The sequence below is a fragment of the Homo sapiens genome, chromosome 1, assembly GCF_000001405.40.
Source record: "Homo sapiens chromosome 1, GRCh38.p14 Primary Assembly".
In the NCBI taxonomy this organism is placed as follows: domain Eukaryota; kingdom Metazoa; phylum Chordata; class Mammalia; order Primates; family Hominidae; genus Homo; species Homo sapiens.
Genome location: NC_000001.11, coordinates 17,012,298 through 17,035,499, shown reverse-complemented (window position 1 = coordinate 17,035,499; position 23,202 = coordinate 17,012,298). Strand labels below are relative to the sequence as shown.

At 46.1% G+C, this 23,202-nt stretch overlaps 1 protein-coding gene across 2 annotated transcripts in view, besides 4 other annotated features; it reads left to right on the top strand.

The window, feature by feature from the left end:
- Positions 1 to 16,778, top strand: part of SDHB (succinate dehydrogenase complex iron sulfur subunit B) — a 35,311-nt gene extending 18,533 nt beyond the window's left edge. The window contains exons 3-8 of one of the 2 annotated variants that reach the window (NM_003000.3): positions 2,355 to 2,440; positions 6,764 to 6,900; positions 7,635 to 7,751; positions 11,426 to 11,527; positions 12,770 to 12,892; positions 16,542 to 16,778. In NM_003000.3, coding sequence (NP_002991.2) covers positions 2,355 to 2,440; positions 6,764 to 6,900; positions 7,635 to 7,751; positions 11,426 to 11,527; positions 12,770 to 12,892; positions 16,542 to 16,619 — 643 coding nt within the window. In that variant the 3' untranslated portion in view covers positions 16,620 to 16,778. The remainder of the gene's footprint in view (positions 1 to 2,354; positions 2,441 to 6,763; positions 6,901 to 7,634; positions 7,752 to 11,425; positions 11,528 to 12,769; positions 12,893 to 16,541) is intronic. The other variant, NM_001407361.1, reaches the window with a different exon arrangement.
- Positions 5,019 to 5,518: an enhancer, noted in NCBI's record as "H3K4me1 hESC enhancer chr1:17356477-17356976 (GRCh37/hg19 assembly coordinates)". NCBI's record gives its function as "activates a minimal SCP1, AML or CMV promoter by ChIP-STARR-seq in naive H9 embryonic stem cells {active_cell/tissue: H9 hESC(naive)}" and the evidence as "EXISTENCE:reporter gene assay evidence [ECO:0000049][PMID:30033119]".
- Positions 16,487 to 16,536: an enhancer, noted in NCBI's record as "active region_276". NCBI's record gives its function as "activates an Ori minimal core promoter by ATAC-STARR-seq in GM12878 lymphoblastoid cells {active_cell/tissue: GM12878}" and the evidence as "EXISTENCE:reporter gene assay evidence [ECO:0000049][PMID:35858748]".
- Positions 18,631 to 19,166: an enhancer, noted in NCBI's record as "H3K27ac-H3K4me1 hESC enhancer chr1:17342829-17343364 (GRCh37/hg19 assembly coordinates)". NCBI's record gives its function as "activates a minimal SCP1, AML or CMV promoter by ChIP-STARR-seq in primed H9 embryonic stem cells {active_cell/tissue: H9 hESC(primed)}" and the evidence as "EXISTENCE:reporter gene assay evidence [ECO:0000049][PMID:30033119]".
- Positions 19,167 to 19,701: an enhancer, noted in NCBI's record as "H3K27ac hESC enhancer chr1:17342294-17342828 (GRCh37/hg19 assembly coordinates)". NCBI's record gives its function as "activates a minimal SCP1, AML or CMV promoter by ChIP-STARR-seq in primed H9 embryonic stem cells {active_cell/tissue: H9 hESC(primed)}" and the evidence as "EXISTENCE:reporter gene assay evidence [ECO:0000049][PMID:30033119]".

Here is a 23,202-nt window from a genome sequence, read left to right as displayed (position 1 = left end):
TTAAAATATGCTAGGACAAGAACAGGCAGATCATTAGAATAAAAATGTAGCAACAAAACAGACTCAATTTTATCTAAGTTCCCAGTATTAAATATGGGAGAAAGGTATTACAAATAAGAAGCAAAAGAGGATTTAGTCAGTGATTTGGGACAACTGATACAGTTTTTGCAGTTTTAGGGGAGTAACTTAAAATTTTTTTTAAGTAGAAAAAAATGTAAAGTATTTATCAGACCTCAGGAAGGGCAGTGGTCTGTTTAGGCTTAAAAGTGATAGATAATGTTATAAAAGAAAGAATAGCCACCTTTATTAATGTAAACATTTAACTCATGTATGTTTAAAATTCTGTTACCAAAATTAGAAGTCAAATAGCACATTACTATTGGCAGTGAGGGAGGAAGCAGAAATGGCAACAGATATAATATATAAGAGCCTCAGATCATGAAAAAGAATTTCCAAGACCCTGGTAAACAGAGGCAAAGAATGTGGACAGACTGAGTCTCTAGAATGAGTCCTCTGGAACAGAGCTTTGTGCGGGCAGGTGGTATTCGTCTCTTTTATTCTCTGCTACATCCCCAGCATCTAGAACAGAACCTGGCAGAGTAAATGTTCAATAAATAATTGGGAAATAAAGAAAAATTAGTAAATTTATGACAAACATTCAACCTATGTAGTATTCAAAAGTCTCGATTTAAAACACTGAAAACAATAACACTTCTCCAGTATCAGAATAGCAAAGGTTTTTAAAGCTTCCAATTCCCAGTGTTAGCAGAGGTCCAGCAGAAAGGACGTCTACATAGTGCTGATACAAATACAGATAATGGGCCAGACGCAGTCGCTCACACCTGTAATCCCAGCATTTGGGAAGGCTGAGGCAGGTGGATCACTTGAGGTCAGGAGTTTGAGACCAGCCTGGCCAACATGGGAAAACCTATCTCTACTAAAAATACAAAAATTTGCCGGGTGTGGTGGCATGCACCTGTAATCCCAGCTACTCGGGAGGCTGAGGCAGGAGAATCGCTTGAACCCGGAAGGTAGAGGTTGCAGTGAGCCGAGATCGCACCATTGCCTCACACCCATAATCCCAACACTTTGAGAATCCAAGGCAGGAGGATCACTTGAGTCCAGGAGTTAGAGACCAGCCTGGGCAACATGGCGAAATCCCACCTCTACAAAAAAATACAAAAATTAAGCTGGATGTGGTGGCACATACCTGTAGTCCCAGCTACTGGGGGGCTGAGGCAGGAGGATCTCTTGAGGCTGGGATGCGGAGGTTACAGATCTGAGATCGTGCCACTGCACTCCAGCCTGGGTAACAGAGCAAGACCCCGTCTCAAGAAAAAAAAGAAAAAAAATGAAATACAGATAGTACTAAAGGAAATGACGTATTTTTAAGTATATTTTTAATCTCATGCATAGAAAATTAGTGAGTGGAATGGGGGCAGGGTGGCAACCAGAAAATAGATTTGTGGAGCACTTACTGTATGCCAGGTACTATGAAAAATTACATATTTTTATGTAATTTTCACAGTAACCCTGTGGTGTAAATATTAACTCTACAGATAAACTGAGGTTCAGAGAGTAATTTCCGTAGAATCACAGTTTCTGCATGATGATTATTATAGTTAAACTATGATTTATATGTCAGATGCTGCTGTAAAGATCTCGTGTGTATTAACTCACCTCCAGCAATCCTGTGGGATGCAGGTGCTGCTCTCTGCACTCAGTGGATTAAATGCCTAGGCAGAAATTAAATCATTTGCCTGCAAGCTGGTAAGTGGCTCAGCCATGGTGCAGACCAGTCTCTTGGCTGCCAGGCCGGCACTCCAGGTCCCACGCCCAGGGATGCTCCGCTTAGTACCATGTCACTGCCCTTGTATGTTCTAGGAGGCTCACAGTGATTTGACTGGGGGACTGTGAGTGATTGGGTGTCTTTTATTCTCTGTACTATGTCTTCTCTTATGGTTATGTATTATTAATTACTATTTAAAACTATTGTCTACATCCTAAAAATCAAACTAAAATTTGAAATAAATTATTTGGAAAAACTTTGCAGGGAGCTTCAGAAGTAAAAAACAAAAACTCGGCCACTGTATGGAAGTTGTGTCATACTTGTCTACTACTACTTTAGCTTTCCATTTCCTAGAAATGTGTTTGCACTGTGATCATCAAAATAGAACTGTGCAGTACTTAAAATGTAAGAATCTGCAAAAACAAAACTACAGAACAAATTCCGAAGGTGACCTGAGAAGACCAAATGGATAAGCTAATACATCCAGGTGTCTCCGATTATATTATGATAAAGTGTAGGGAGGTTGAACGTTACATAAATACCACTGGATATTTTTCTTTGTTAGATGTGGCCCCATGGTATTGGATGCTTTAATCAAGATTAAGAATGAAGTTGACTCTACTTTGACCTTCCGAAGATCATGCAGAGAAGGTGAGCATTTCATTCCTGTTGGGCTCCAGATACTTGTGGTCTTCCAAAGAGGCTTGGGCTGGCCAAAGCTGATAGAGACATCTGGAAAACAGCTGCAGCTCTCTGCTGGGTGAACTTGCTGTGCAACCTAATTCCTTTTCTTGGGTAAATGCATCCAAAATTCTAACCATGGTGCAAGTTCTGGTTTCTGAGTTTACTTTCCTTCAGGAGCATTCTATCCTGTGGTTACTGCATCTGGCGGTCCCTGTGAGCTGCTCCACGCTTCAAGGCCTAGCTAGGACCTGCTGGCTGGCACCTTCCATGCTGCTGAGCTCTTTTATTAAGGGAGCAGTGGAGAGTTTCTGTCTGGCACTTATGCTTGTCCAGCAGGGGAGATGTGTGAGTCTCCCTCAGCTCCCAGCATGACATGTCCTTGGTAGCTGTGTTCTGGATTGGCTGGTACAGTGTCTCCCTCAGCATGTGGTTACTTGTGCTGCTGGTGCCACATGAGCCCATTTGAGGCAGTGTGCAGACTAACATTTTCTACATGAATAGCAATGTATTCATTTTCTGTATTAGAAAAATATAATTACTGCCGGGTGCGGTGGCTCACACCTGTAATCCCAGCACTTTGGGAGGCCGAGGCGGGTGGATCAGCTGGCGTCAGGAGTTCGAGATCAACCTGGCCAACATGGTGAAACCTTGTCTCTACTAAAAATACAAAAATTAGCCGGGCGTGATAGCGGACGCCTGTAATCCTGGCTACTCGGGAGGCTGAGGCAGGAACCCGGGAGGTGGAGTTTGCAGTGAGCCAAGATCACGCCACTGCACTCCAGCCTGGGCAATAGAGCGAGACAGTCTCAAAAAAAAAAAAAAGAAAAATATAATTACTAATGATGGTATAATAGGGATATAAGTGGTTTTTTAATGTGAATTTAAGCAAAACAAGTTAAAGAAAACCCAAGAGATACTTTAAAGAAAGTTGATTCAGGTGGTTCTCAGGTATAGCAAAAATTGCACAGGGTGCAGTGAAGACCGACTGGCCTGATGTCCGTGGAGCCAGACTGTGTGCCCGGCTCTGTTCTGTGCACTGGACATGAGGTAGATGACTGTGCTTATTATCTACCTTCAATTTAAAGGTGAGGCCCAGAGAGGGTAATGGACTTCCACAAGGACACATAGAGAGTGACTTGAGAGCCGGGAGTCAGCCAAAGCTGTCAGACTCCAGACTCCAGATCTGCTCTCTCAGGCACTGACTTGGCTTGGAACACCTGGGATAAAACAAAAGCAGAGAGTAGCTTGATTCTGTGAGGACACTGAGCTTTTTTCTAAGAAAACCTTAAAAAAAAAGGAAAAGCCAGTATTGATACCGGCCCATGGCTTTTTATCTGTTCAGCTGTACATTTCAAGCATTTCAAGTCTTTTAAGACATCTGTTTTGATTCAGCTAATCTTATTTAGCGTTGCAAATGCTGATGGATATTATGATAGTTCGGCTGAGTCCTGCTGTTCAGGGAACATTCTGCGGCAGTTAAACAGCAGCCTTCCCCATTAAGTCCTGGCAACACAGGAAAGGTAGATGCTTTTCAGTAACCTTTCCCTGTAGGACTCTTTCAGAACCAAGAACATAAGGTGTGACCCATCTGGACTAAAAAAAATAAAGCAGAATTGTATCAATTGCTACTCCTTTTTATTCCCATCTTGTTTTTCTTATTTTTTTTTTAATTCCCATCTTGTAAGAGAATTCCCAGGGAGCCTTTTTGAGAGAAAGTTCATTGGATTTATTTTTTTAATTTTTATGCCATTTCTTGTAAAAGCAAACTGCTCTAGTTGGATGCCAGGTATACATAAATGTATTGATAATATCCAGTCTCTTGGGGAACTCTAGGAGTATTTGCTTAAGACACATCTTTGGGTTCCCTTACACTCTTTCTAAGATTTACAGGAGAAGGAGAGTCTTACTGTCTTTTCTAGTCTTATGAAAGTGATAACCGACTGGGCGCAGTGGCTCACGCCTGTGATCCCAGTACTTTGGGAGGTCTAGGTGGTAGGCTAGCTTGAGGCTAGGAGTTTAAGACCAGCCTGGGAAACATAGACTCCCTTTCCATTAAAAAAAAAAAAAAAAAAGGTGAGGCCAGGCATTCAGAGGCCGAGGCGGGCAGATCACAAGGTCAGAGTTCGAGACCAGCCTGACCAACGTGGTAAAACCCCGTCTCTACTAAAAATACAAAAATTAGCCAGGTGTGGTGGCGGGCGTCTATAATCCCAGCTACTCAGGAGGCTGAGGCAGGAGAATCACTTGAACCCGGGAGGCAGAGGTTGCAGTAAGCCGAGATCGTGCCACTGCACTCCAGCCTGGGCGACAGAGCAAGACTCCATCTAAAAAAAAAAAAAGATGATAACCAGTGCAACTTTCTCAAGCAATCAGGTTTCTCTGACCTAATGATCTTCAAAAAACAGCTTCAGAGGACTGGCACTAGAGGTTTAGAGTACATAATCATTTTTAAATTCCAAAACACCCAGGAAATTTCCATATACAGGAAGTAGGTCCAGGCTAAGAAAATTCTCATGTCGGGGTCCTGGGTCAGCACGTTTTTTGTTTAGTTTGCTTTGCTTTGCCTCAGTTTCATATTAGTTCATTCTTCTCCTCTTTGGAAAGTCCATGCTGAGTCAGCTTTTGTGGATTTCATAGCCCCAGGGTACTATGCTGCGTATTTTATGAAGACAATAGAAGAAGCCTTACCTCTGTCAAGTGTAGTGGCTCAGGCCTGTAATCCCAACACAGTGGGAGGCAAAGGCAGAAGGATTACTTGAGGCCGTGAGTTAGAGACCAGCCTGGGCAATATAGTGAGACACCTGCTCTACAAAAAACAATTATTTTTTTCTTTTTTTTGAGATGGAATCTTGCTCTGTCACCCAGGCTGGAGTGCAGTGGCGCGATCTCTGCTCACTGCAACCTTCTCCTCCTCAGTTCAAATGATTCTCCCGCCTCACCCTCCTGAGTAGCTGGGATTACAGGCACCCACCACGACTTATATTTTTAGTAGAGACAGGGGGTTACCATGTTGGCCAAACTGGTCTCGAACTCCTGACCTCAAGTGATCTGCCCACCTCAGCCTCCCAAAGTGCTGGGATTCCAGGTGTGAGCCACTTCACCCAACCTACAAAGAATTTTTTTGAATTCGCCGCACATGGCGGCATGTGCCTGTAGTCCCAACTACTCAGGAGGCTGTGGTGGGAGGATCGCTTGAGCCCAGAAGTTTGAGGCTAAAGTGAGCTACAGTGAGCTATGACTCCACCACTGTACTTCAGCCTGGGTGACACAGCAAGACTCAGCCAAGAAAAAAAAAGAAGAAGAGCTATCTCTTAATAATCTGTATCCAGGTCACTTCAACCTTAAGATGACCAAGACAATGTTGATTTACTTTACTTTTGGGTATTGTGTCTGTTAGATTTGTGTTCAAATAACAGTGGCTTTAAAAAATCTAGGTTTCCAGGCGTGAGCCACCACACCCACCCCTACTCAGGAGGCTGAGGCAGGAGAATCACTTGAACTGGGGAGGCGGAGGTTGCAGTGAGCCAAGATCGCGGCATTGCACTCCAGCCTGGGCAACAAGAGCAAAACTCCTTCTCAAAGAAAAAAAAAAAAAATAGGCTTGACGGGTGTGTGGTGGCCCAGACCTGTAATCCCAGTGCTTCGGGAGGCCAAGGCAGGCAGATTACTTGAGCCCAGCAGTTCAAGCCCAGCCTGGGCAACATAACAAAACCCTGTCTCTGCAAGTCTCGTCTCTACAAAAAATACCAGAAAATTAGCTGGGTGTGGTGGGCTACTTCTGTAGTCCCAGCTACTTAGGAGGCTGAGGTGGGAGGATCACTTGAGCTCAGGCATTGAGGACTGCAGTGAGCTGTGATTGCACCACTGCACTCCAGCCTGGGTGACAGAGTGAGACCCTTTCTTTAAAAAAAAAAAAAAAAAAAAAAAAAAAAACAGGCTGATTTTTCTTCAAAACACGTGACACATGGAGCTAGAACTGCTGTGGAAACTCCATGGTGCCAGCAGCGCCCAGGCCTCTGGCCTCCTCCAGTGCCATACTTGGCATGTGGCTTCTAACCTCAAGGTTGCCACATGGTCATAGAGTAGTTTTTGGAACTCAAGCCATTAGAACCACATTCGAGGCAGGAAGAAGGAAGGAAGGGAGAAAAGCCAACAGGCACCTCTGTCAGAGGAATGTTGCATGTCAGTGCTGCCCCTGATGGCACAGCAAGGAGGATCCAGAAGAAAGTATTTGGGGCAGGACTGATTCCGGATATGGGTGAGGATGTGTTAAATGTGTGTCTCTTTCAGGCATCTGTGGCTCTTGTGCAATGAACATCAATGGAGGCAACACTCTAGCTTGCACCCGAAGGATTGACACCAACCTCAATAAGGTCTCAAAAATCTACCCTCTTCCACACATGTATGTGATAAAGGATCTTGTTCCCGTGAGTTTCTGCATCTCTCTGGTTTTGTTTTTATTTGCATGGGGGGCAGTGCTATGTGTGTTACGCTATTAGTTTTTCAGGGCAGGATTTGTTTGAGTATTTAAGGCTCCTCTTCTAGTCAGATAGTAAATAGATGGGACTGTTTCCTATATTATGGCAGGAGGAGGACCACAGTGTCACTGAGAGATTAGGAAAATCTCCAGATCTGAGACAGTGTGGCCAGAGTTTAATTAAAGAATTTGAATGGCAGAAGATAAACGCCTAGAAAATCCTCCAGCAGCTCATTTGGTGAGGTTTGTTTGAGAATAATGGGGCACAGAATTTTAGAATTGGAACATTCCCAGAAATGAATAATTTGGCCATAACTACAAAGAAATCATGTGGAAAATGCCAGTTGGGAAAGCAACAGCTGTTTATGAGTCCCACTTTAATTTCTACCTCCCTATATTTGAACACCTTTGCTGACGTGGTGTTTTCAAGGGCAGAAAGGACTGTGGGATTGGCAGGTTTCCCAAGTAGGTGAGGGAGAGGTTTCCTAACCATGCTTAACATTGTGACCATTTTTCCTTTTGTAATCTTTGCATATATTCATGACAAAGGAAAAGAGTCTGGCTTCTGCCTGGCATAGAGTGGACGAGTAGTCAGTGTCCAAGAAATGGGGTAAATAAAGCTGAGGTGATGATGGAATCTGATCCTTTTCTTCTTCTTCTTCTTCTTCTTCCTCTTAACCACAGGATTTGAGCAACTTCTATGCACAGTACAAATCCATTGAGCCTTATTTGAAGAAGAAGGATGAATCTCAGGAAGGCAAGCAGCAGTATCTGCAGTCCATAGAAGAGCGTGAGAAACTGGTCATTAGTCCCTATTTATTGTTTCAATCTGAAGAATTTATTGCAAAGATGATTGCCAGGAGTGTGGCTTGGCAGGGAACATAAGCTGATGCAAGCCATTTAGTGTATTCTGGAGAGGAACTGGCACAAGGGTGGGGCACTCATCCTCTTAGGGCCGGGTGAGTAGTGTGAACCCGTGAATGGCCCAGAGTGGACCAAGGAGCTAGAGCCCTGTGCCCCGCCTGCAGGGGCGGGTGGTTGCTGTGTGGCTACTCCATCTTTTTCAAAAGAAACCAGTATGTAAATTGCCTGGGCTTTAAAAAGTGACCACTAAGTCAGAACTGTTCCCTCACTGGGGGCAAAATGAAACACATATGCTGGCCAGTTGTAACTACCACCGTCCTGCTTTACAAATGGGAGTGAAATGTTAATGGCAAAACAGAGTCATCGATATTCTTTCCTGACACCATACTTCTGGTGATCTGTGGGGTGGGATTATTCCTGGCCTGCTCACTCTCTGGGAGTTGCCATTCCTGTGTACAAGCTGTAAAATCTTAAAGCGGAGGCATCATTATCAAGTTTTCAGTCTTTCTTCTTCTACACTACTTCTACTCCTCTGCGAAGAAGTCTTCTCTGATTTGCATACTCCCTGCATACTTGTGGACGTGAGGTAGGAAGGGGACCAAATGGAGACAGAGCCCCACCTGCAGGTCTGCACAGGGCCAAGGGCAATGGCTGTGTCTTCTTCCTTTCTGGATCCCTAGGCCCTGGCGCATGTTATTTTATCCATAAATATTAGTTATGTAAATACTGTAAAAATATATATAAATTTTTTAAAAGGCCAGATGCAGTGGTGCATTCTGATAGTCCCAGCTACTCAGGAGGCTGAGGTAGGAGGATCACCTGAGCCCAGGAGTTTGAGAGTCTGAGAGTTTGAGGCCAGCCCGGGCAACATAGCCCAGGTTTTGTCTCTAAAACATATACATATATGTGAATATATGAAAAGTATCAGTTGTATGAATGAATAAATTAATTCTACCTTTTGAGACTTGGTAAATATTTAGCATCCTCTCCTGTTGCCCATAAAACGTTAAGAAAGGGGAGTCCGGCCAGGTGCAGTGGCTCATCTGTAATCCCAGCACTTAGGGAGGCCGAGGTGGGCGGATCACTTGAGGTCAGTTGTTCGAGACCAGCCTGGCCAACGTGATAAAACCCCATCTTTACTGAAAATACAAAAATTAGCTGAGTGTGGTGGCTCACACCTATAATCCCAGCTACTCAGGAGGCCAAGGCAGGAGAATCTCTTGAACCCGGGAGGTGGAGGTTTCAGTGAGCCAAGGTTGTGCCACTGTACTTCAGCCTGGGCAACAGAGCAAGACTCCGTCTCAAAGAAAAAAAGAAAAGAGAAAAAGGGGAGTCCTAGTAAGTGTGCCCAGTCTGTCACCATCAAGATAGTGAGGGTCAGCACAGTGGCCTGCAAGTCAGAGTAAGCCTGGGATGAGACTTCAGAGCTGCTCTTCTCAGACTGCAGCTCTGCTCCTCAGTTTCTACCTCCCAGAGTCTTGTGCATCCCAGAGTCCAGGCTGAACCGGGCCCTCTGGCCCAGCGAGTCCTTTGCATTCCTAGGCAAGGCTGGTGCGTAGCTAGTGAACATCTCCCTGATGTGGTATTATTAGGGATTGAAGAGTTCCCCTGAGCATGTTTGGTTTTCTAGATACAAGTTGAGTATTCCTTATCCTAAATGCTTGGGTTTCAGTGTTTGGGGTTTCATATGTTTTCAGATTTTGGAATATTTGCCTTACACTTACTAGTTGAGCACCCCAAATCCGAAATCTGAAATCCATGCTCCAGTGAACATTTCCTTTGAGCAGCATATTGGTGCTCAAAAAGTTTCAGATTTTGGAACATTTTGGATTTCAGATTTTCAGATTTGGGATGCCCAACCTGTAATAGAAATTTACTCATTTACTCATTTACATACCAAACATTTAACATTTTTTGGCTTCCTTAAATTAGTATGCTGAACTTAATAAATAATTGGAAAATGTGGAGAAATTTATGTATGTATTTATTTTTAATTGGGCAGCCCCCAAACCAAAATAGGTTCAGAGAGGCTCCATCATTTTTTAAATAAGCTATAATTTTCAGCCTGGGGAACATAGGGCGACCCTGTCTCTACAAAAACTTTAAAACTTAGCCAGGCATGGTGGTATGCACCTATAGTCCCAGCTACTCAGGAGGCTGAGATGGGAGGATTGCTTGAGCACAAGAGTTCCAGGCTGCAGTGAACTGTGATTGTGCCACTGCACTCCAGCCAGGGGCACACAGCAAGACCCTGTCTCAAAAAAAAAAAAAAAAAGAATTTATAATTCCACCACCAAAACATAATCTCTGTTAATATTTATAGTTTCCTTTGTTTTTTGTTTATTACATTATATTTTTATGTAGCTGGGATCAAAATGTAAATATGCTTTTATATCCTGCTTTTTTCACTTATGTTATTGTGAGCATTTTCTTCATATTCTTAAAATTGTTCATAAGCATTAACTTACACTTTGCTTTCTACTGCTTCAGATGTATGCACCATGCGCCATAAAACCATTTCACTGTTGCTGGACAATGAAATTGTTTCCAATTTTTTACTGTTAGAAATAAGGCTAGATGAACATCTTTATCCTTCAAGTTCTGCCCAAAACATTCTAATTTCTTATTACAGATTTTTCTAGGAGTGGGTTAAAGAATATGACTATTCTTAAGGCTCTTAATCCTGTGACCTTATGCCTTCTAGACCAGTGGGGCCAGTTGACACTCCCACCAGCTGTCTGGACATAACATAGATTTGGTTGAAGACTCATGGTTCAATCACAACCATCAGTTCTGTCTCATCTGTTCTCAACTGTCACTTCAGGTGTCAGTGGGCCCCTTTCATTTTGCTGTTTTTAATCCATTTCTGTTGTTTCCAAACTCAGAAAGTCCGGTTTGTGTTTGGGACTTGTTGGGCAGATTGACCCAGTGTGGCAGGTGTGAAAGTGCAGGAAGCCAGAGCCAGCTGCCGGGGCCACATCCTGGTTCTGCTGCCTATAGTGGCACGTCCCTGGGCACATGGCCTAACTCACTCTCCTCGCCTTGGTTCCTTACCTGTAAGTGGAACTTGCTGGAGTCACCTCACAGGATTACTGTGATGATCAGTTAAGGAAAGCGTGTAAGGCGCAGGGCCTCCGTCAGGATTGGCAGTGGCAGTCACTGGGGATGATGTTGATGTTCCCAGTGAAAACCTGAGGGCCCTTCTGCTGAGCCCAGGGCAGAAGCAGCTACAGACTCTTGCTGCTTCAGCCCCTAGGCTTTTGAATCTCTCCCGTCTTGACCTCATTCCAGGAAGCTGGAATTTATGGGAGTTGTTTTTGTGTTCTTGTTTTCTATTTCTTTTTTAGACAAGTGAGAGGTTCTTGTTTATTAAAGGGAAAGTGCACTATACGTGGATTTAAGAACCCTGGGCAGATGTTTACATTTCACTTGCAAGATCTTTATTAATCTGCTAAATATCTGCAAATCACCCCTTGGATTTTGCTAAGAAAATTCACATGCAAGTAGGCACTTTGTTCATGCACTGACCCCAAAGGTAACATTTAATCAGCTGAAGACATAGCAGAGTCTCTCCCGTCACAAGCTCCTGCCTCTCTTTTCTCCCCATACAGGACGGGCTCTACGAGTGCATTCTCTGTGCCTGCTGTAGCACCAGCTGCCCCAGCTACTGGTGGAACGGAGACAAATATCTGGGGCCTGCAGTTCTTATGCAGGTGAGGTGCTCCTTAATTGCTTTAAGAGAAATTGAAACTCAAGCATCCAGAAGTCCAAGAGGACAATAGATTGCTGTAAGCCAGCCATTCTGAGGGGCCTGGTTTCCTTCATTGCCATCCAGTCCAAACAGGGTAATTGGTTGCATTGTATTCACTTGCTTTCGGTAAATCTGGGGCCTTGTCTGCAAATTGCCTTTGTTTCAGTGCAGTGAGGGTCACCCCAAAGGGGTGCAAACCATGCCTTGCAGATGTTTAAAATGTATTTCCGTTTGCCTGGTGGTCAGAGGCTCCCCCTCTCCCTCTCATAGGATTTGTAACATAAGACTTGTAGCGAGCAAGCAGGGGAGAAAGCAGTGTCTTTGAAGGGCAGCTGCCCAGCTATGAGATTGGAAGCTGTTTCCCAGCTAATGAAAGCCTGGATTTAGGGGTTGCTTAGAAAGAAAATAGTATTGATGTTCACTGCAAAGAAAGTCACTGTCTTTGTTCCCAGAAAGCTTGTGCTTTTTTAGATACGTGCTTTTCACAGACTCTAGGCAACTCAAAAACCAACTTCTCTTTCTCATTTTCCCACAAAAAGAGAAGTTACAGGTTTGTGTGACCACATGAGCAATATTGATTCCCAGCCATGTGAAGATTGGATAATGAAGTACACTCATACTTGTCACTTTTGCCAGCTGCTCCGAGTTGGGGATGTAGAGGTCCTCTAAGTAACACTGCTAGAGCAGGCCTATGGTCATGTGATTAACTCGTTTCAGCCTGCTGATCTCAGGCTGCTGAGAGCGCTGTGTAAGTTCAAAGAATCATTAAGTGGGACAAATACTATCTGTAGACAGGTCTGTTAAATCATTCCTTTACTCAGAGACAGCAAGTCCAGCATGGGTAGGTGCCATGAAGACAGATAAGAGTTATATGATACAGTCCCTGCCTTCACCAAATTATAAGCTGGGTAGGAAGCTATTGAGCAATGTGAAATAATTAGGAGATGATACCCAGTGTGTATAATTAAGCACCCGGGTACCAGGTGCAGTATGGATCAAAGGTTTGCAGGGACCATTAATCAAGTGAAGCTACAAGTGTTGGGAACCTTTCCTTGAAAGATGGACAAGAATTAAAGAGTATGGAGATGAGGCATCTAAGCTGAGTGAATTCCCTTTCCTCTGCACTCCCAGAGCTTTGAGTTGAGCCAGGGTGCCGCTCTGGCCTGTTGATTGGCAGCTCAGCTAATCATCCCTGGTTTTCCAGGCCTATCGCTGGATGATTGACTCCAGAGATGACTTCACAGAGGAGCGCCTGGCCAAGCTGCAGGACCCATTCTCTCTATACCGCTGCCACACCATCATGAACTGCACAAGGACCTGTCCTAAGGTACGTGGGGCTGGTGACCCTCAGCTCTGCCTCAGAGCTGACACGCCAGAAGTAGCATGTGCTCACAAAGAGGTGATTGGCAGAGAGCAACCCTAGTCATTTGAGAAGGAAAGGGACCAGCATATGCCTGTCCTTTCAGTGTGAGCCTAGGGGCTAGTTTGGCTCTTAGTTGCAAGGAGTAGACTGACTCGGGCCACCTCAGGAGCAGGCTTTATTTGTAGGCTACACAGGGACATTGTGGGAGTTAAGGATGCACAGGAACCCATGAGCAGGTACCTGCGTTCAACCTTCCCAGGAAACAGAAAGCGAAAGCCGTTGGAACGTGGGCAGCTGTGAGGACTTCATTTCTTCTCCATCTTTCTCGCGATGTCAGCTGCTAATCTGCTCTGCTCTCTAGCAGCCTGTTCTTTCCTTCGGCTCTGTGGAGGTTTTCTCTGACTCAAAGCTCTGGCTTTCGTTCCTCTTCCTGCTCGCATTTGCTGCTGCTTTTGGCTCACTCTGGCCTGGATTTTGCCTCCCAGCACACTTCCAGCTTCAGCCACCCGCCTGCCTCCCAGCACTTCTCAGCACAGTTTCCTGAGAGGGTGTCGCATTGGCCCAGCTCACCTTCTCATGCCTGCACATCAGAGGCCACAGCTGGCTACAGACCGGCTGCCCTTTGGCCAGGTTCTGTCTCAGTCTGTTTTGTGGTACTATCACAGAATTTCAGACTGGGTAATTTTATAAAGAAGTTTATTTGACGCACAGCTCTAGAGGCTGGCGCCAGCATCTAACAAGAACCTTCGTGCTGTATTACCCCATGGCAAAAGGCAGAAGGGCAAGAGAAAGGGAGCCCAAGCTCAGCCTTTTTTTTTTTTGGAGACAGAGTTTCGCTCTTGTTGCCCAGGCTGGAGTGCAATGGCACGATCGATCTCAGCTCACCACAACCTCCGCCTCCCAGGTTCAAGTGATTCTCCTGCATTCGCCTCCCGAGTAGCTGGGATTACAGGCAGGCACCACTCATGCCTGGCTAATTTTGTATTTTTAGTAGAGATAGGGTTTCTCTATGTTGGTCAGGCTGGTCTCGAACTCCCGACCTCAGGTGATCCACCCACCTTGGCCTCCCAAAGTGCTGGGATTACAGGCGTGAGCCACCGCGACCGGCCCCTCTCATCTGTTTTTTTTAAAAGACAGGGTCTCACTGTGTTGCCCAGGCTGGGGTGCAGTGGCGCAATCATAGCTCACTGCAGCCTGGAACTGCTGGCCTTAAGTGATCCTCCTACCTCCTGAGTAGCTGGGACTACAGGCACACACCACCACACCTGACTAATCCAAACTCATCCTTTTATCAGGAACTTACTCCTATGATAATGGCAATCCATTTGTGAGGGCAGAGCCTTCATAATCTAATCACTTCTTAAAGGTCCCACCTCTCAATACTGTTGCATTGGGGATTAGGTTTTCAACACATGAGCTTTTGGGGACACATTCAAACCATAGCAGGTGTCAGCCCTGGTCCAGTCAGCCTTGCCCAGTGGGCAGGGAAGGGCTAGGGCTGTGTGGTTCAGAACACGGCTGCCCTCCGAGCAAAGACTGTGGGTGATTTCACTCAAAAGTTGCAGTGAGTCAGTGGGCGGCAAGGTGGAAAACTGTAGGGTGGCCAGTTAGCCGTAAAAAAAGATCACACTGTGTGTTTGAAAACATGAAATCCAAGCTGTAGAATTCACTTATTTTTTGCCTGGAAACCCTCTGTGTTTCCAGTGGCCTCGCTGGGGGAGCCCACAGGCTTCAGCTCCCTATTGCCTGGGCTTCCATCTGGGTCCTGTCCCCAGGACTGTGGTTTACCATGATTGTGCCTGTGAATAGCTACTGACCTCTGAGGCAAGTTATGCTATAAAAGTGCTTGGAACAGTGCCTGGCACATAGTAAGCACCCAATAAATGTCACCTTATGTTATTTTTTAAAAAAACATGAGTACTGGGCTTGTTTGAGACAGAGATAGCATCTTCAGTGGTGGGGCCTGGCTGTGTGTTTCTTCAGAAGCTCTGCGAGTGACTCTAAGGTGCATTCCTGGTCACAAACCTGTGCATGGAGGGGATGGGTGCAGCAGACAACTGAGACAGCCAAGAACAGGTTCTCTGTGCCTTGCCCTCCCTTCTGTAAAACAGGGCTGGAAGTTGGGACTGAGACATAGACATAGGCCGATCATGAAACTGGAAGGGACTTGAAAACCATCAAGTTTAATCCCCTTATACAGATGGGGAAATTGAGCCCCAGGTGGGGAGGGGAGTGACTCGCCCCAGATCACTGTCAGGTCAGTGGGAAGGTAGGACTAGAGTTAGGCCGTCTGCCTCCCCATCCAGTGCTCTTTCTTCCTGCATGGATTGGGTATGTACCAACCTTCTAAGTCTAAACACCCTTACTGACCCTGTGGGGACCGGAAATACACAGGTAGATCCAGATTCAGAAGGATATACAGTGAAAATTCTCCCTCCCACTCCACCCAGCCACCTCCCTAGAAGTCAGATTCTTGTGTGAACTTCAGAGGTGTTTTATGCTGCACACAAATGCATATGTGTCCTCTTCTGTCTTTCTTATATCACATTTATCTGTATTTTTTCACCCACTATATTTTGGAGATTATCCCATGTTGGTATATGAAGAGTGTCTTTTTGACCAGCCTGGACAACATAGTGAGATCCCATCTCTACAAACAAAATTTTTTTTAATTAGCCAGGTGTGGTGGCACGCACCTGTAGTTTCAGTTACTTGAGAGGCTGAGGCCGGAGGATCACTTGAGCCAGGTGTTCCAGGCCACAGTGAACTATGATCACACTTCAGCCTGGATGACAGAGCAAGACCCTGTCAAAAAAATATATATTTTTTCTTTCTCTTCTTCTCTCAAGATCTCTTTTCTTTCTTTCCTTTTCTTCTTTCTTTCCACAACACTTTTTTAGGGGGGTAGACTTATCCTTCTAAAATGAGGGGAACCTTCACTAACGTCAGATGAGTACTTGTCTCATTTTACCAAGTACTTGCTTGGTAAAAGCAAGTACTTGGTAAAGTACTTCCTACTTTCTACTTCAATGAAGCTGGCATTCAGTGGGTTTAATTATTGTGCCTCCTGCAAAGCAGATGTTAACAGCTGTAGGGGCAAACTGCAGCTAATACCAATGGTATTGGCCAGTTGAAATCATCATGGTTTTACAAAGGGTTAATAGAGAGGGTAGTTTCTTCCACATACTTTTGAGAGCTGGTATATGCTGATTTCTGCTGCTGCCTATTTAATAATGATGATGTAAAAGATTTAGAGATGTCTGGCTGATTTTGACATTGGCCTGTAGTCCTAGAAGAGACACTACCCTGAGTGTCTTTGAGCAGTCAGAGAGTGCACCTCTGCCCTGGGCCTGTTTACCTGTTAGAGTGAGCCACACAAGAAGGAATTCAACGTGGCAGAGCTCTTGCCAGAGGGAGCTGACCATCTTCAAATGTTAAAAAAGGTAGACAGAAGAGAGCCCTTAGCCCAACCCCTATGGTTTTGAGGGACTTGATTTGCATTCACCTTGCTTGGACACTGAACCAGCTGAGGAAGGAGTTTCACCCAAGATTGTGGGTTTTCCCTTTCAGTTTCAGTTATCATTTGTTATTGATTCTTTTCTCTTTTTTCAAGGGTCTGAATCCAGGGAAAGCTATTGCAGAGATCAAGAAAATGATGGCAACCTATAAGGAGAAGAAAGCTTCAGTTTAACTGTTTCCATGCTAAACATGATTTATAACCAGCTCAGAGCTGAACATAATTTATATCTAATTTGAGTTCCTTTAAAGATCTTGGTTTTCCATGAATACAGCATGTATAATAAAAATTTTAAGAAATAAATGTTATTCTACTTTATTAACAAAAAAAAAAGAACCTGTTCCTTTACTTGCCGCAGGGGAATGTGAAGGTGCCAGGAGTCCTTGTCCTTGGAGAGATGGACAGGGCTTCAGAGCTGAGCGGGGGTGGGGGTACCCTAGCTGGAAGGAGGTGATGAGCCGTGGAACTGACATCAGCAGGGCCTGCAGCTTGTTCCCAGCTTTGCCACTCACCAGCTAGACAACCTTGGACAAGTTCCTTCACCTCTTTGCTGCTCCATTCGCCCATCTGTAAGATGGGATCCATAATTGTGCCTACTTCATTCATCTGGTATGAGAATGCCTGGCACTTATTCTGAACACTCAGTTAGTGTTAGTGTTCTGTATCTTCCCAGTTTCTATAGTTTTCAGTACCAGAATTACTGAAAACCAAATCTTGGTAAGTCTTTGGATACGTCGGTGAGGCCAGGTTTGAGATTCCTCCAGCACAGAGCAATGACCCTGGTCAGTTGTGAATCCAGTTAGTTCCACAAATGACCTCGTGGGGCCTCTCACTGCAAACATCAACTCCACAGCACTGCTGCCTTGGCTGGCATGCTCACTGCACAGCCGGGCGTGGTGGCTCACGCCTGTAATCCCAGCACTTTGGGAGGCTGAGGCGGGAGGATCATTTGAGGTGAGGAGTTCAAGACCAGCCTGGCCAACGTGGTGAAACCCCGTCTCTACTAAAAATACAAAAATTAGCTGGGCAGTGGGTGTGCGTGCCTGTAATCCCAGCTACTTGGGAGGCTGAGGCAGGAGAATCACTTGAGCCTGGGAGGTGGAGGTTGCGGTGACCGAGATCACACCGCTGCACTCCAGTGTGAGCAACAGAGTGAGACCCTGTCTCCACAAAACAAAAAAGCAATGCAAAAAAGGAGAAAGGGGGAAAGTAAAAGTGGAAGCTCCTCCAAACTCATCCCGTTGATAGCTTAGACATTTCCTTCCACACTCTACGTTATTACAGTTATGCAGCATATATAAAACTTTCTCCCTTCAAAAGTAAGGTACCATAGAGCCAGGAGCTGTGGCGTGTGCCCCTAATCCAGCTACTCAGGAGGCTGGGGTGGGAGCATCACGTGAGCCCAAGAGGTCGGGGCTATGGTTTGCCATGATTGCGCCTGTGAATAGTTACTGCGCTCCAGCCTGGGCAACATAGTGAGACCCCATTCCTTTAAAAAAAAAAAAAAAAAAAGCCTGGAACAGTGGCTTCTAGCACTTTTGGGAAGCCAAGGTGGGAGGATTGCTTGAGGCCAGGACTTCAAGATCAACCTGGCCAACATAGTGAGACCCTGTCTCTTTTTTTTCTTAACATACCAAAAAAGATTTTAAAAATAAAGGGGTATCCTATAGTCTGCCAGCAGCTATTTTTTTTTTTTTTTTGAGACGGAGTCCCAAAAAAAAAACTGCACTCCGCCTCCCGGGTTCACGCCATTCTCCTGCCTCAGCCTCCCAAGTAGCTGGGCCTACAGGCGCCCGCCACTATGCCTGGCTAATTTTTTTGTATTTTTAGTAGAGACGGGGTTTCACCGTGTTAGCCAGGATGGTCTTGATCTCCTGAACTCGTCATCCGCCCGTCTCAGCCTCCCAAAGTGCTGGGATTACAGGTGTGAGCCACTGCGCCCGGCCTCTATTTTTACCTCACAATGTAGAAGGGATTTCAGTGCTAATAAAGACCTACCTTTTTGTTGTTGTTGTTTTGTTGTGTGTTTTTTTTTTTTTTTTTTTTTTGAGACAGAGTCTCGCTCTGTCGTCCAGGCTGGAGTGTGGTGGCGCGATCTCGGCTCACTGCAGGCTCCGCCTCCTGGGTTCACGTCATTCTCCTGCCTCAGCCTCCAGAGCAGCTGGGACTACAGGGGCCCGCCACCACGCCCGGCTAATTTTTTGTATTTTTAGTAGAGATAGGGTTTCACCGTGTTAGCCAGGATGGTCTCGATCTCCTGACCTCGTGATCCGCCCGCCTCGGCCTCCCAAAGTGCTGGGATTACAGGCATGAGCCACCGTGCCCAGCCAAGACCTCCCTTATCTGTGTGTGTGTGTATGTAAAAATTTTTGGAACTCCTGCTTAAGAGCACTGTGGCATGGGTGTACCCTTATTTAACCATTCCCCTACTAAGGCACATTCGGGTGGTCCCTATTCACCTTTTCATCCAAGGCTGCTTTTTTAAGTCGTAGCTGGAAACCTCTGGATCATCCGGAAAACAAAGGTTTCATGCATCCTGAGGCAAGCAGCTGAGAAAACGTGTGACTCACCGAGAATGAGCCTTAATGAGCATTTTCTGGCTTAAAGGGCTGATTCAACAAGCATCTGTCTCAGGCATTATGGAAGGTGAGGTGCTGGGGACAAGGATGAACAAGATTTGTTGCCTGCCTGCCACCTAGGAGCCAAGGTCACAAAGGAAAAAGGAACAAACATCAGAAATTTCAAGAACAGGGCCGTGTGCCCCTCCCTACAGCATCTTGGAATTCTTGACTATCTCAGTGAGACACACAGTACATGGCCCTGCGGCGCTGAAGCCTAAGATTGTGGAGTGCACTGGCTTCTTGAAAGACAGTGGAACTTGAACTGCGGGCCATGTCTGTGGATAGCTTCTGTTCCCCAGCTCAGACCTAATGGCTTTCTATCAGCCTGGGGAAAGGTCACATTCCTTGGATTCATGGATAATTTGACTTGGCTTCTAATCTCCAGATCTGTAGGGAAAGATGGGTTTTTCTCATGAATGACTTTTTTTTTTTTTTTTTTTTTTTGGAGTCTCGCTCTGTCACCAGGCTGGAGTGCAGTGGTGCAATCTTGGCTCACTGCAACTTCCGCCTCCCAAGTTCAAGCGATTCTCCTGCCTCAGCCTCCCAACTAGCTGGGGTTACAGGCGTTACGCAGCTAATTTTTGTATTTTTAGTAGAGACAGGGTTTCACCATGTTTGTTGAGCATACTGATCTCTAACTCAAGCGATCCACCTGCCTCGACCTCCCAAAGTGCTGGGATTACAGGTGTGGGCAAGCACACCCTGCTTCTCATGAACAACTTAATGCTTTGTAAAGATGGGTCCGCAACAACTGATAAGAGGCAGGGTGTAGCTTAGGAGTCGCCACTTCAGATCAGCGTCATCAGAGGCTGGGTTGACTCTGATGGTCACTCTCCGCAGTTGAACTCCAAGTTAAATTGGTATATGTTATCAACTGATAGTTTAATTTACTGCTTAATCTTTCATTGAATTGGAGACAAATGTTCTATTGCAACAGTCACAAAGGCTTTTCCAGTAAAACTGCAGACCTGTGTGGGGAACAGTATTTTGTCCTGTATGCTACTTCTGTGCCCAGTGTGCCTTCATTTACAAGATAATACTTCCAGCCTGGCCCTGTGGCTCACGCCTATAATCCTAGCGCTTTGGGAGGTGGGAGGATTGCTTGAGCCCAGGAGTTAGAGGCTGCCGTGAACTAGGATCGTGCCTCTGCACTCCAGCCTGGATCACAGAGCCAGAACCTGTCTCTAAAGAAATTAAAAATAAAAATAGAATTTCGTAGGACTGAAGCCAGCCATCCCTTCTTACCTAGCTCTGGACATGTTGAACATCTGTGACTCTATTTTCCTATCTGTAAAATGGGAATTAACAGCATTCCCCTCTCAGAATTATGGTTGAAGTCTAAAAGTAAATGTGAAAGCATCTTGCCTGCAGTAGAGTAAATGCTCCATAAACTCAAGTGAACGGATTTGTCTTGAGTACCTACTATGTGAAAGGCCCTCGAGTGAATGCTGGGAGGCTGCAAGAGTAATTCCTTCCCAACCCTGAGTTGACAGCTGGCATGTTTCTGACATGACTGGCCAGAGCTAGAGGCCTCCCTGTTGGGAGGATGGTTTTTCCGTGCAAGGCTAATATTGCTTATTTCTCATCTCTCCCGTCACACTGCTCAGGTCAGGGAGGGACTCCCATTGGTCAAATTCTCTTCAGGCCCCTTCCCTTCCTGGCACCAGGATAACTACCATACAAAGTGCTGAAACTCGGCCAGGCACAGTGGCTCACTCCTGTAATCCCACTTTGGGAGACCAAGGTGGATCTCTGAAGCACAGGAGTTCGAGACCAGCCTGGGTAACATGGCAAACCCCATCTCTACAAAAAAAAAAAACAGAAAAATTAGCTGGGTGTGGTAGTGCTCACCTGTAGTCCCAGGTACACAGAAGGCTGAGGTGGGAGGATCACTTGAGCCGAGGTGGGAGGATCACTTGAGCCCAGGAGGTCGAGGCTGCAGTGAGCTGAGATCATGCCACTGTGCTCCAACCTGGGCAGCAGAGAGAGACCCTGTCTCAAAACAAACAAACAAAAAAAACAAAAACAAAAACTGAAACCCCACTTTACTGTGTGTCTAGACAGCCATAATCCTACCAACAGGGTTTGTTACTAGGTGAAAAAAATCCTCTTTTGTTGCAAAAATCTAGTGAAACTAGAGAAGTCGAAAAGTAAAGCAATGCTCTGGAATAAACTCGCCCAAATTAGTGATTTCTCAAGCTTTTTGCCACTGGGACCAGGCCTATTACGCCCTCTCCGTGGGTTCCCAAGAGAGCCACAGCCTAGAAGGGAAGCTGTTCAGTCGGTTCTCACCCACGTGGGACTGGAAATTTCAGACACGGTTATCCGGGAAGACAGCCTGGGCCACAGACCTCCTCGATGACCACACACCGAGAGCCACTTCCCCAAAGGTAACCCCAAGCAGATGGCAAGGCCTCCCACATGCTCTGTGGTTTGGAAGGAAGCTTCCTCTGGCCTCCTCCCTCATTAAGGAGAAGGGACGAGCTGCAGGTGCGGCTCCTTCCCAGCTGGCTCAGGGAATAGAGCCCCTTTAAGGCCAGGCAGCCTTAGCAATAAAAAGAATGAAGGGGGCACCCTTGCAAGGCAGTCCCCCATGCAGTCCCCAAGCCCTCTGCTTTTATTTATTTATTTATTTATTTATTTATTTATTTATTTATTTTAGAGGGAGTCTCAGTCTTTCACCCAGACTGGAGTACCTCTGCTTTTATGAAGCCGCTAATCCAGTGCCAGGATCTAAAGCAAGCAGCTGGCTTCTACCAAGTTCCTGCCATCTCATTTCATCCTCTCCATGCCTTCCATTTTGTAGGTGAGGGGAAGGAGAGCCTTAGAGAAGGAAAGTGACATTTTAAAGCTCACACAGCTAGAAAGCAACTCATGCATCCATGTCTTTCTGATGCCAGAACCCAGCCCCTTGCCACTGTACCATACTGCCTCTTGCCAAGGCCACCTGGGCTAGCCATTTCCAAACCCAGCCTTCCTGCTGCCCTGGAGGCTGGGTTCCTGCCAGAAATTGAGCTAAGCCCTGGGGGAGGACATGGGAGTTCTGAAAAGTTAAGCAGCCTGCCTCCCCTGGAAGTGTCACCGGAAGATGAAAGAACTCTTGTCACCTGACCCAAGGAAGCCAGTCCCATGGCCCAGGTGGTCAACAGGAATGACCCGCAACTGGTTGGCTCGGGCAGCCTGCCCCAGCTGAGTAAATGGCTCCACTGGCACCCAGCTGCTCAGGCCAAAACCCTGGGGAGCATCTTGAATTCCACACATTCCTGCACCCCCACATCCTATCCACCAGCAAGTCCTGCCAACGTGTGTTCCTGTACCAAATGTTCACTGGGATCTTGCTATGAATCAGGTGCTGCTTTCCCTCCTGGGGTCTATCCCCTACCCACACCCTCACCACCATCACAGCTGTGTCTCCTTCCAGCCCCTTCCACAATAGGGATCGTTGGAGTTTTCCTTTCCTTGACTAGGGCTACTTCCCAGTAGACAGCAGTCTCCGCAGGGACAGGGGCATCTCTGTTTTGTTCACTCTCACGTTCCTGGCTCCCACAGTGGTGCTGGCACTCCATAAATTCATACTGGACAAATGACCAGTGATCCTGCCCACGTCTATCCTTGGCCCTAACGTGAACCTTCCCTTGTTTGCCCTAGGATCTCACAGATCCACTCTCCCCTTTGGAGCTCCTCTGTCCAGAGGTCCTGGAGACAGGGAACACTATGCCTGTGCCGGTCACTATGGGGTAGCAGGATAAATGCTGCACGCAGGTAAGACATCTCTGGTGCCTTTCAGGGGTCTTCATGAATCCCCCCAGTGCAGGTGTGTCTGCAGGTCACGCTGTGAGGCTTCTCTTTCTCTGGCATTTCAAGGCCTCCAGTGCATCATGGCAGACTCTCCCTGGGTCTCTGTGGGCCCACATCTGACCCTGTGAATCTCTGGGCAGGTGTGTCTTCCTTCTTTGCATTCATCAAGCAGCGCCAGGCACTGTCTCAAGTGCTTGATACGCATTTTCTTTTTTTTTTTTTTTTGAGACAGAGTTTCGCTCTTTTTGCCCATGCTGGAGTGCAATGGCATGATCCCGGCTCACAGCAACCTCCGCCTCCTGGGTTCAAGCGATTCTCCTGGCTTAGTCTCCGAGTAG